This window comes from Homo sapiens, chromosome 2, assembly GCF_000001405.40.
Source record: "Homo sapiens chromosome 2, GRCh38.p14 Primary Assembly".
Lineage (NCBI taxonomy): Eukaryota > Metazoa > Chordata > Mammalia > Primates > Hominidae > Homo > Homo sapiens.
The window spans coordinates 72,991,519-73,004,076 of record NC_000002.12 but is presented as its reverse complement, the minus strand read 5'-3'; the positions used below and the strand labels follow the sequence as shown (position 1 = coordinate 73,004,076).

The window sequence follows — 12,558 nt, the reverse complement described above, 5'->3', positions numbered from 1 at the left end:
TCTAAGCCTCAGTTGTCCCGTTTGCAAAATATCAAAAGTAATCTCTGCTTTGATCCCCAGGGTTAGTATGAGGATTATGATAAGTGAAATGCGTGGCAAAATCAAATCAGTCAATCCATCTCTTTAAGAAAGAATGAGGAGACTCATAGCAGTCAGAGGTGCCAGCATGGACTCCAGACCCATGTTAGGGTAGGAGGTTGGGATGCAAAGTGGGGATTGTCTAACAAAGTAAAAAGCTTGCTGGTCACAGAGCCATGGGCAGTGTGTATGTGTGTGGTACATAGCCCAAATACTAGTTTGGTTTGTTCTGGAAAAGACTTGATGTCACTTTTAAAAATGCTTGCCACTAAAGATAAATCAAGTGAAGATGAAAATGAGACAAAGGGAAGGTTAGGGAAGGGAAGATAAAATGAAGCCAGAAGTGAGGTTTGGGCACAGAATCCATGCAGTGTGGGTCTGTACACTTGGCAGATGGGGCTGTGGAGAGCTGGCCTGAGCTTCTGACGGTGCAAAGAGACTCAGTTGAATGGCTCAGTGTCTGCAAGGCACATGCACACCAGTTATTCAGAGGCACAGTTCCTGACCCTGAGACTGGAAAATATTTCCCCCAAGAGGATTATAAAGGGAACCCTGTGGTGTCACGGGCAGTGTCCTGGACAGCAGTTGTCTGGTAAATGCAGTGAGTGCTATTGGGCTGTATCTTACGATGTTCCTGGTGGTCCAAGTACAGTTCGAGGGGTAAGTGGGGATTCAGAGGAGAAGACAGTGTAGTCCATAAGACACCGTGTTCAGTAGACTCCAGATCAGGGGATGACGTGCTGGGCTCCAAACAGTGAACAGCCTTATTAACTTCCTCCGGTGGTAGAAGGCAGTCAGGCATGCATACGTGTACACATAGGAGCACATGTACTCTTCACCCACCCCCCTGTCCCATCCCCACCCCCGCTAGGCTCAGCTCCCTCCCTCTGGTCTGGCTTCTAACTGGGGGCCCCAACTACGAGGAGGTCCTCAGTTTCCTGGGATACTCCTTAGCAGATGGGATCCCATTACAGAAAAGACCGTCTCTGTTGACTTGACACCTACTACCCAGAATTTGGAAGTAGAATTTTAAACTGAGGTCAGCCCCTTCACTTTCATAGTTTAAGAAAGTTAGTGCCCCAAAGGGGATCATTTTCTGCCAGAGATCACATGGGGATGGAGCTGAATCTAAGACCCAGGTTCCCCTGATTCTCACTCTAATTCCCTAAGCTGCCACTGCAAAGAAAAAAAAAATCAAGTTGGGATCTCATTCTGGGGGAAAAATCTCATAATTCCTCGTTGGAGCTATGGAATAGCTTTATATTATATAATTTTATTCAAACTGATATGAGCCAATAAATATAGATTGTGTGTGTGTGTGTTAGCTGTTTTAAAACATTTTAATGTTTAAAACATGATTTACTAATGCTGCTGGGGATGTCTAGAATTTGATTTACTGCATATTATTGAGTGTTTATACTTGTTCCTTACAGAAATTCTTGCCAAAGAGCCATTTTATCTACAGGAATAATAAATAAGTCAATATGTGGATGGTTGTGCACATTTTTCCCATATGCAGTGGGACTTGGTAGATGTTACTTTGCACACAAACACTCAGAAGGTAAACTGGAGAGATGCACATGGATCCCTGAAGTCCAAGGCTTGGCCAGTGTCAAAATCAGACCATTCATCTTGACTTAAACCAAAAACACGGTCAGCAAGTCTAGGTCTTAGGTGATATTTGGGCTTTGGGAATAATGGATCTACATGTTCCCATACCTAGCCATATGTGTATATGTGTATATTTGTTCATTTCTTCATTCATTCCTTTCTTCACTCATTCAACAAATATTAGAAATCTATGTTTCATTCAGTTGCTTAAACCTGGTATAGGTTTTTGCTTCATGGAAATTCACAGATAACAGATACAAATTCCCCCAACTTGTATTTACAAAGCACTTAAGGCCTTTGAAATGATTTTTGTTTAATCCTCGCAAAAATCCTACGGGAAGGCTAGGGTGAGCAGTCAGGTAACCTGAGTGGAAACGAAGGTATTCCTTTTGTTTGCTTGTTTTTATTGCCCCCCTAATTGTGGAAATAATACATGTCTGTTGTTTAAAAGAATACAGAAATATTTAAGATTGTGCAAAAGTAATCTGCAACCCAACCTCCAGAGACATCCACACTACAGGTTTTTTCATGCTTGAAGATAATGTGTGTATGCATGTGTTTGTGTATATCGTTATATATAAAATGATTTTTCTTTAAATAAATAAGATTATGCTGTAATATAATTCTGCAACTTGGTTTTTTCCCATCACACAGCCTCTCCCTCAATGAACCTCAGTTTGTATGTACACGGCATACCACATCAGTTTGTACAGATCCAGCTCACTCATTTGTGGTAGCGTATTTTTTCTTTGCAAAAGCATAGGATGTTTCTTCTGCCTTTTTCAGCATTTCTTCTCTCTTGCTCATAGGTAGTCGGTCTTCTCTTGCCCAACCAGACACTGGCATCCACTGTCTTCTGGCAGGTAACAGTCTCGCAGCAAACAGGGCTCCTGAAGGAAGGGCCCACACAGGTGCTGGTTAAGAACTCCCTGCTGTGGTGTCTCCTGCCCCGTCCAGACCCCGTGTAGGGTCAGTCCACCCCAACACCACCCCTAGCCCAGAAGCCACTGAAGGAAAACCAGGACTTTGGCCCTGCTGAGCAGGTCTCCAGCAGCCCAGCATGTCTCAATCCACCATGTGTCACTCTAACCTTTGGACAGAGGTCATGAGGGCTGCGTGCCCCTGCCTGGAACATGCTGGCTTGTCAGTGGGGTGGCCCCCACTCTGCCCCTTGGCTGCTCATCCCAAGGCCAGTGACCCTGAGGCCCATAGCCTCATTTTGACATCAGCCTCCCCCACATCTGCTGAGGAAGCTAAATCCACCCCTAACCTGAGGTTGTGAAGTGCATCACAGACCCTGGTCCCTGCTCTTGGAGACAGTCTGGGTTGTGATGCCATGAAAACTGAGGATATCTCTGTGTTTGTGTGTGCAGAGAAAGACGGGCAGGAAGGAAAACCTGTCTGTCTTCTAGGAGAAAATGTCAGTCTTCCCTGAACTAAACTCCTGCCGGCCTCTGTGTCTGGGAACTGGAGGTGCAGGATACTGGACTGGGAGATTTTTGAAAGAATTGTAGGGCTGTCAGTCATTCTAGGCCAACTTTTGTCCAGCAGGTAATATAATAAAGATGGTGTGACAAAGGCAGTGGGGTCTGCAGGGGCAGTGAATGCCATCATTCCAAGAGAGGTGACTGTCTCAGGATCAGGTGGACTACTGGGGTGCGCAGGACCCCATTCAGGAACCGAGAGACTTCCCGAGAGGCAGGGCTTCCAGTGCTAACACCAGCACAGCCCTGGGCAAACCAGGACGGTCAGTCATGCTGACCGGCAGCATGGGCGGCACCATGTGAGCTGGAGACCGCATGCTGTGCCTTTCTGGGGATGTGTGGCCTCCTGGGGTCCAGGCCTGGCTTCCAGGGAGGTGACCACTCCTTCCCTGACTTCTCTCATCATTGCCTTTCAGTGGCTGAACCAGAGCCACAATGCCTGTGTCAACTATGCAAACCGCAATGCGACCAAGGTGAGCATCACTGCCCTCTCCCCAGTGGTGGGGTTCAGGCTAGGGAGGCCCAGTCATCCTCCCTACAGCGTGACATGCCACCATCAGTGGCTGCCTCTTGGTTAAGCATGGCCCTCCTCTAGATATCTTATTTAAAATGCCAGCCCTTCAGGTGGGTGGCCGACTCAGACATGACTCAGCTGAGGTCAGCTGCAGTTTCTGGGCCAGGAGCCCTCTGGGGAGGGGCTGTTTACATGAAGTGAAGAAGGCCCATTAAATGGGAGCAGTGCAAGGGATGAGTTCGGCTGGCTTTCAGATTCTTCTTGGGTAGCTCTTACATTTGGGTTTTGGATCATGATGGTATCAGCTACTTGGGGGCAAAATTCCCATAAAGCTTCCTCCAAAATTTCTGGAAGCTGCCTTAGCGCTCCCAGGTCCCGACTGCTGGCCACAAGCTGAAGGGCTGCTCCTGAGTGGGGAGGGTCCAGGGCTGGTAACTCCCCCCCAGAGCCCCTGCACTCCTTGGAGAGCTTGTGGTGGAGGCCCAGTCACCCTTCTGTTGTCCAGGAAGGGCTGCTGGGCCCCTGCTTTGCTGGCAAGGCCACCTCTCCCCAACTTCAATTCAAAGGCAAAGAAGGCAGGATGCATCTAAGTCCCCTTTGGGGGCCTGTCAGTTTGGGGTAGAGGAGAGTCCTAACATTTGCTCACCTTGGGGGAGAGGAGGGGAATAGGAGCTGGCCTGGGCCATAGGAATTGAGAGGCCTGATATGCTGTGGCTGCCCCCTGACATCTAAACCTCCACCCCAAGTCTCTCTCATAGGCTTCACATATGGCCATCTCTGCTTGGATGACTCCCTTTATCTTAAACCAGACACTTCTAGACCTGCAGTTGTAGCACAGGGCAAGTTCCTTAGCTTTTTCTTAATTGTCTGTGTTGGAACTTGGGGTATATTATTCTCTAGAGATATTGGGCAGCTATCATCTGTTGACATGGGAGCCCAGCTGTTCCATGGGCTGGCAAGGCCTGTGAGAGCCTTGACACTGGCATTTCCACCTAGAAAGCGCTCCAGATGCCAAATGGCCCCCTTGAAACATTTAGCCTCTAAACTGAAGACTGCTTGCCCCAGCCTTCAATGGTCCATGTTAGCCTTGCTGTTCTCCACCTCCACCCAGCACTGTCTGCCAGTGACCTTTCTAGAACAGGGCAGGAGTGAAGTGGGCCCTTCAGTATCTCCCTGGATACTGGTGATTTATATTTCTGCATTGGGAACTGAGCTGAGGGTGGCCTGATCCCTTTGAGTCCTGAGGGGCCTCTTCCTTCTACCCACTTTCCAGGCTGGTGGGCAGGATGCTTCTTGCTGGCTGGGACAGCTTACAAGGGGAAGTATGGGAGCTTTGGGCACCCAGCAGGCCTGAAATTCTGCCTCTGTTTTCCAGCCTTCACCTGCATCCAAGTTCATCCAGGGATACCTGGGAGCTGTCATCAGCGCCGTCTCCATTGCTGTGAGTACTCCCTCCCCTGCTCCTTCTTGGCTCTGCTGCTCTGGGGCCACCCCGCTCAGCATTGCAGGTGGATGCTTGTCTGAGGGCCAGGCCAGGCAAGGATTTGGGAGACAGGTTTCTGTGGGTGGAGGAGTCAGGACAGGCTTTCCAAGCCGAGAAGAGGCTCCAGTAGACAGAGCACAACCTGGTGCTCCCTGTAATGGAGAGCAGGTGGGGAGGTGAGGTTGTGCCTGGGGGCACTGAGGCAGGACATCTGTCTTGAGTGGGGCTGCGGTTGCCCAGCACTCTGCTCGGAAGAGCTGCTCCTCATGCTCGGTAACGTGGCTGGAGCGAGCGGGGTGGGGGGATGCCTCTGAATGACTCTGCAAGGCCTGCCCATGTGCCTGCTCCCCTGAGCTCTTGCTCAGCTGCCGGGGCACTGCTTTTCCCTCTCTATGGCCTTACTGGTGTCACACGTCCAGCTCTTCCTGAAGACCTGTCAGTGCCCGAAGCCAGGGGCGTTAGGCTCACTCTGAGTCTCCACAGTACTTTGAGGCCAGAGCAGCTACTCAGTAGGGGAGGTTCAGAGACTGAGCGTGAGGGTACGGCAGGTGTGGCTCCCTGCTTCCCAGAGGAGGCCAGGGGCAAGTGACACAGTCAGGGCCCTGGGCCAGAGCCAGAGTGGACGCTCAAGCTGCCAGGACCTTCTGCATGCTTGTCCCACCCCTGAGCCCGCCCCTGTACCTACGTCTGGCTGTCTCTGGATCCCCACTAGGATGGCCTTCTATAGCCGACTCCAGAGGGCGAAGGGCCCCTTCACAACTCTGTCATTTCATCCATTACACAATACATTAATGTAACTGGTAAGAAAAAAAAAATTAGAAAATGAAAACCAAACAACATTCACATAGCTGAGCACAGTGGGGCACACCTGTAGTCCCAGCTACTCAGGAGGCTGAGGTAGGAGGATCATTGAGCCCAGGTGTTGGAGTCTGTAGTGTGCTATGATTGCAGCTGTGAACAGCCACTGCACTCCAACCTGGGCAACATAGCAAGACCCCATTTAAAAAAACAAAAGGCCGGGTGCAGTGGCTCACGCCTGTAATCCCAACACTTTGGAAGGCCAAGGCGGGAAGATCACCTGAGATCAGGAGTTCAAGACCAGCCTGGCCAACATGGTGAAACCCCTGTCTCTACTAAAAAAAATACAAAAATTAGTCTGCATGGTGGTGGGCACCTGTAATCCTAGCTCCTTGGGAGGCTGAGGCAGGAGAATCGCTTGAACCTGGGAGGCAGAAGTTGCAGTGAGCCGAGATCACGCCACTGCACTCCAGCCTGGGCGACAGAGTGAGACTCCATCTCCAGAAAAAAAAAAAATAAATAAATAATAAAAAATTTAAGAAATTAAAAAACCCCAAAACCATTCAGCTGGGCAAGCTGGTGTGCCCCTGTAATCCCAGCTACTCAGGAGGCTGAGTTGGGAGGATTGCTTATGGCCATGTTGGGCAGCATAGCAAGATCTTATCTCTAATGAAAAAGAAAACATTCACATATAATGAAGAATTCACATACAATAACCTTTTGGTAAAACCCCCTTTGCTCATCTTTCCAGTGCCATTAAGTAAATACTGTATAATAACTGTTCACGGCTGTATAATTACCCATTGTACCATACGCCACAATTTAATTCACCATTCTTCTAAAGGAGGGACTTGGGGTTGTCCTGAAATGGCCTCATTTATTTCACTCCCACATAGACCAAGTCATCTCCAAATAGCTGTGAAGTGGGATGTCCCATTTCATGCCCAAGATCTCTTTCCCAAATCCTTATGTCTTCACAAAAGCAAGAAGTGAGACATTCAGGTGGCTCACCAAGAGACTGCTGACCTGCCACCCAGCTTGTCCTGCAGCCCAGCAGGAGACTTCATTTGGGAGTCAGACAAATTGGGGGTCCCTGATACTGGGGACTTGGTGGGTGAAGGCCAAAGGCTCCCCTGAGTGGGAGAAAGAACTCTTGTCACCTCCTCCTTGTTCCTTGTGATGAGAGGAGCTGATGGTCTGCTTAGCTTAGCAGCTCAAAAATCCCCTTCCTTTTTTTGAGACTCAGGGGCAAGGTGAGAGGAGGAGGCTACATAGGGAAGGATGCTGAGTGGCCTTGAATGGAAAGGCCTGAGTGAAGGGGATCATTGTCCTGGTGGACTTCCTTCACCTGCAGGCCTGGGGCTCAGAGAACAAGAATCAGCTTCTCAGCCTGAGTAACATAGCAAAACCCCATCTCTACAAAAAATACAAAAAAAATTAGGTGTGGTGGTGCACACCTGTAGTCCCAGCTACCTGGGAGGCTGAGGTGGGAGAATCATTTGAGCCTGGAAGGTCGAGGCTGCAGTGAGCCACGATTGTGCCCCTGCACTCCAGACTGGGCGACAGAGCAAAACCCTGTCTCAAAAAAAAAAAAAAAAAAACAAAACTCAGCTTTTTCTGAGAGCTCCGAGCCCTCTGTGTGTCCAGTCCTCACTGCCCCACCTGAGGGACCATCAGCCGCTCCGTCCCAACCACTTGCCAGGGCAAACCTAGCACAGATTTGTGGGGTATGGGTTCTGAAGACAGAGTTACTGGGGGACTTGGAGCCCTCTGGGGTTCCCAGAGCTGAGCTCTTGCTGGGCAGGGGCTGGGGCCTCACGCGGGGCTGTGCCTGTGCTGGGGACTCCCTCCTTTCTCCTCCCTGTGAGCTCCAGCACCCCTCGAAAGGCTTTCCCCAACCATTCCAGCCCATAGCACTCTCCCTCCTCACAAGTCCTGGAAACTCCTGTCCTCCCCACTCACACTCAGTCGCACTGTGTCCCTGTCCCCTTAGTGTTCTGCAGTCTGAGCCTCATCCCCACTGGATTACAAGTTAACCAGGGACGGGCACCATGGCTTCTCCCCCATGGAGAGGAGCACAGGGCACTGCCCCATAAATACTTATTAATTAGGCCACTGATTGATCGCTGGCCTTGAGGCCCCTCCGATCTGCGAGTCCTAGTGGTGGCGGCGTCCCTCCGCCTGACGTCTTCACACAGTGAGCGTCTAACTCCGGCAGATGGAGTGGAGTTTCTGACTTGGAAAATCGGCAGCTTGCTTGCTTTTCTTTTGTGTGTGTAAGTCACAAAACCTCTGAAGAAAGAGGCTTTATTTTATTTTCCTTTCCCTTGTTCTCTGGAACCCCAGGTCCTACAGCCTCATTAACTGATCTCTGTTTCAATTAGTGACAAATCCCCTCCCAGGGCAAGCCTGTTAGGAGGAGATGACCTGCAAACAAGTGTCACGGCCCCAGTGGTTGGCCCAGCTCTGGCATTAATTAAAACGAGTCCCTACAAGCAGGCGGCATGGATGGGGGCCGACAGGCTGCAAGCAGGTCCTTGGGACAGAGGGCAAACTGGAGTGGAGGCCAGCCTCCTCTGGGGGCCCTGAAGAGCTCCCTGCCCCACTCAGAGGAGCCCTGACCTTGGCCAGCAACCCTGGAGTCAGGGATCCCCAGTTTGCATGCCCCCAAGTGAAGACTCCTGCTGGTTGCAGGACCACCAGGGTGGGATTAGCAGCCTCTTGGTGAACCTTCTAAATAGATTTGGCAATGTCTGGCTGCTTGCTTGAGAATAAAAAAGAAATCCCGTCTTAAGTTATTTTTGAAATCTAACAGTTTGCTGTCTTTTAACAAAGGAAGCCTCTCTCAATCCTCACTGTTTTTTAGTTCAAGAGTTTGCATTAAGCACTTCTGTGGGCGGCCCTCCCTGGGCCCCGGCTACACGAGGGTGAGAGGAAGTAAGAGACATTGACTCCCATCGGGGGACTGTGATGTGCGGGTACTTTGCAGGTGCTGGGGGCTTCAGGGACTGGTATATCTTTCAAGGCACTGAGAGGGGAAGCTAGAAGGCTCTGTGGTATAATCAGAATTATGATGAAGGTGACCCCAGGGTGTGGTGGGAGCAGGGAGGGGCCCCTACTTCACACAGGGCTGACTCGTAGGACAGAATGGAGAGAGCCAGGGGCAGGCAGGGTGGGTGTTCCAGAGAGAGGGCACCGTACAAGCAGAGGTGCACAGGAGAGCATGACCAACTCCGGGCTCAGAACAGGAGGGCGGCCACCGGGTAGGGAGTGATGGTGATCGTGAGTGGAGGAGGATCAGGGCCAGTCAAGAGGTGCCATGAGTGCCTTGCTCAGGTGGAAGGAGGCCATGCCTGGAGCCCTGCCTGGGCTCGGGAACCTGGGTGTCGCAGATGGTGCAGGTGGAAGTGGGCTGGAGGAGAAGGGGTGGGGCCACCCTCATGGACAAGGGGCCTGAATGAGGGTGGACGTGGGGCTGGAGAGGAAGACTCAGGGATGAAGTGCTGTGGGACCAGTCAGGAGCTGCCTGGGGGAGCCACATGATGAGAGGCACTTCACGCCCATTCCTCACACCCTTAGCTGTCCCCAGACCTCTTAGCTGGCTGAGGTCTTTCCCTGTTGGGGCAATGCTGAGCTCCATTCTCAAAGGTTCTGGGCCCTGGGGGGTCCCTTCTGTGTAGGATGCAGTGGCTGTTAACCTTCACTACCAGACACTGGCATAGAAGAAGGGGTTCCAGGGGATCCCTGTGCTGAACCCATACACCTTCCAGTTCCCATTGCTTACTGACAACTCTGTGTCCCTGGATAGTCAGACTGGAAAGTAGTCATGAGATTAGTAATAATGGCTAGCACTTCTGGAGTGCCTACAGCACGCCAGGCATTGTTTAGGTGTTCATCCTCATTTTACAGACGAGGATACTGAGGCATGGAGGTGAAGTAAGTGACAGGGCCTACCCAGGCTTAATCACACACAGAGACCCCTTTTTCCTTTTTCCTGCTGCACCCCCTGTGGCATAAGGAGGTGGGAGAAGCCGAGTGGTGTTCTCAGCTTCTAGGTTGGAGGAGCTATTACCGTGCCGCCTCCTGGCAGACAAGTCCTTCCCCAGGTACCCTGAGAGCAGTGGGGACTGGGAGACATTTTTTGAGAGGTTCTTTAGGTATAACAGAGTTCAACCCTCTGCTCACCTTCATACTTAGTTCCTGGGCCTGTGTTTTCTGGCTATAGTCAAGTCAGCGGCATATATTTGTCCCTGGCCCAGAGCATGCCCTGCCGCCTATAAGACAGGGCCTGGCTGGCTCTGTGGTGGAGGGTGTACCTCAGGCCCTTCTGTTCTTCTCCAGGCTGGAGAGAGGTAGGGGGACGACAGCACCTGGGAATCCTGGACCAGACTATTGTCTTGCTGTGTTCAGGGGGTGGCTTTGGGTTTGGAGGGTCCATCTCATGGACCCTGTAGAGAATCTGCAGTGTTCAGAAGCCTGCAGATGGTGATGCTGGCAGTGTGAGTCAGACACAGAAAGCAGCTCTGTGTCTTTTCTAGGTAGGACAAGTTGTTGCCCCCTCCCATGTAGAAGGGGTCTGATGTAATTGATTTCCCAGCAGCCCCCTGGCCCTTGTGGGGCATGGTTCAGGGGTCAGGATTGGTCACTGTTGCCAGCAAACAAGCCACTTGGTCACAGCTGGAGCAACTGATGTTTTAGCCTGTGCAGAGCTCTGTCCCAGCTACTTGGCTACTTTGCTGCTGACCCCATTGCCAAGCGGCAGGCTGGCTGGGGTTGGGGAACAATTGACCTCCATGGAGGGTCTTGGGTCCACTTGACTACCAATGTGTGCTACTAAGTGTGCCCTCTGGTGGATATTTTTGGTACTTCAGCAATTCCTTGACCTTCCCCCACCCTTGCCCCCGGTGCCCTCACAAACCCCTAACCTTGGTTACATTATTATCTACCACCCAAGAGGGGCCCTCCTTTTAGGCGTGCCCCTTACTCCATTGTTCTTCAGGGCTATTTGGACCCCCATAATGACTGATGCAATAGAGTCTGTAGACTGTCGTCTGAGTACCCCGCAGACAACCTGGTATTTCATGCTTCTGATCCTTGGCTGAGCCCTGCTCCCTTCCTAGCCTCCTATTCAGGGCTCAGGCAGGCATCCCCTTCCTCAGGAGCCTTCATGACCCTTGGGCCCACTCCCTCACGGCACCTCCTCATACAGGTAGCCAGAGCCTTGCAAGCAAGCCAGGCAGTCCCGCAGGGCCGTGTGGCTCCTCCAGTGTCACCGAAGGCTTTAAGCAAGTCGCCATGTTTTCAGACTTCACTCCGACTGCTGTAGAGAGCAGATGGATGGGGGCAAGAGTGGAAACAGGGGGCCTGGTTAGGAGGTGCACTGTCATCCAGGGACAGAGGCTGCGTGCTGAGTGTTGGGAGCAGGGAGAGCAAACAGCTGCATTCATGACATCCGGGAGATGCACCAGGGAGCCATGGTTACACGTGGGCCCCAGGAGGCTCCTGCCCAGAACGCTGTGAGGTCTCTGGCATGAGAAGCAGAGCTGGAAATGGGCGAGGAGGCTGGGGTGTGGGTGAGGAAGAACGAGACAACCTTCATTTGGGGTGCGAGAAGCTGGAGTGCCTAGAGCCCTTGGACACAGAGGCATCCTCCAGGCAATGGATATTCAGGCTGCAGTGGGGGCACAGATGCGGGGAGAGGGATGCAGGCATTCTTCCAGCCTCATCCAGTGTCTCCTTGCTGGCCTGTTGTTGGCCCGGAAAGCCCTTGGTACTTAAGGCTACAGCCACCAGCTGTGTAGCTCATGACACTAAAGATTTGGTGTCATGAAGCTCCCACCCCACCCATAGCTCCTGGTGCTGGTCAGCCCTGTTCCCATCTCCGTGGGGACTATCAGGAAGCCGGCCTTCCCTCCTTTTCCCCTGGTCTCCTGTCAGCTGCTCATGGCAAATTCACTGGCCCAGTAGCCAGACCTTGGAGATAGGTGGTCAAGAAGGCCTATTCCCTCCTTCAGGATGTTGCTGATGTCCTGTGGGGCCTGAGCCCTGGTTTTCCAAGAAGCCCTGTCTGCTGGCCATATAAGAAATTCTTGTGCAAAATCCACACCCTGTTTGTTTTCCCCATCTACCAAAATGGAGCTCCTGTTTGGTTAATTTCTATTTTGTGGCTTATTTGGATGCTGTTAAAACAGATCCTGGGGGACCCTCAGCAGTAATTGTTCCACATCTCATTATCTTTCCTGAACCCGATTATTAGCTCTGATTTTTCTGATCGCTAGCTGCTGTTTGTGATGAGCTGTGTGCCATTAATACCAGCTGGTTCCCTTAAACAGGACCCGCCGTGCCAGGGAAAAACGAGCTGGCATTCAGAGCCACCAGCCTCTTGGCTTTTTAATTTTAACGGGCTCTACCAAATGTTCAAGGCCAAAGGGCCCTGAGGAACCAGAACAGACGGGCTCCTAACCCCTGGTCTGCAGCCATCTTGGGTTCCTTCTCAGGCCGTGGCTGTCCTAGGTGCTGGGGCGGTAAGACCTGGGCTGGGGCCTGGGAAGGGGTGAGGGTAAGTGGCCATTTGCCTTTTCCGTGTCCAC

General features: G+C 51.7%; 1 protein-coding gene across 21 annotated transcripts in view, besides 1 other annotated feature; it reads left to right on the top strand.

Moving 5' to 3' along the window:
• SFXN5 (sideroflexin 5) overlaps positions 1 to 12,558 on the top strand; it is a 129,677-nt gene that overhangs the window by 67,636 nt on the left and 49,483 nt on the right. For all 21 annotated transcript variants that reach the window (NR_138476.2, NM_001371739.1, NM_001371738.1 and 18 more), the window contains 3 exons: positions 2,499 to 2,552; positions 3,590 to 3,646; positions 5,063 to 5,128. Coding sequence is in view for 20 of the 21 variants with exons in the window: in NM_001371739.1 (NP_001358668.1) it covers positions 2,499 to 2,552; positions 3,590 to 3,646; positions 5,063 to 5,128 (177 nt within the window). In the remaining variant the exon portion in view is untranslated. The remainder of the gene's footprint in view (positions 1 to 2,498; positions 2,553 to 3,589; positions 3,647 to 5,062; positions 5,129 to 12,558) is intronic.
• Positions 2,643 to 2,937: an enhancer, noted in NCBI's record as "tiled region #2442; HepG2 Activating DNase matched - State 5:Enh". NCBI's record gives its function as "activates a minimal TATA promoter and a strong SV40 promoter by Sharpr-MPRA in HepG2 cells {active_cell/tissue: HepG2}" and the evidence as "EXISTENCE:reporter gene assay evidence [ECO:0000049][PMID:27701403]".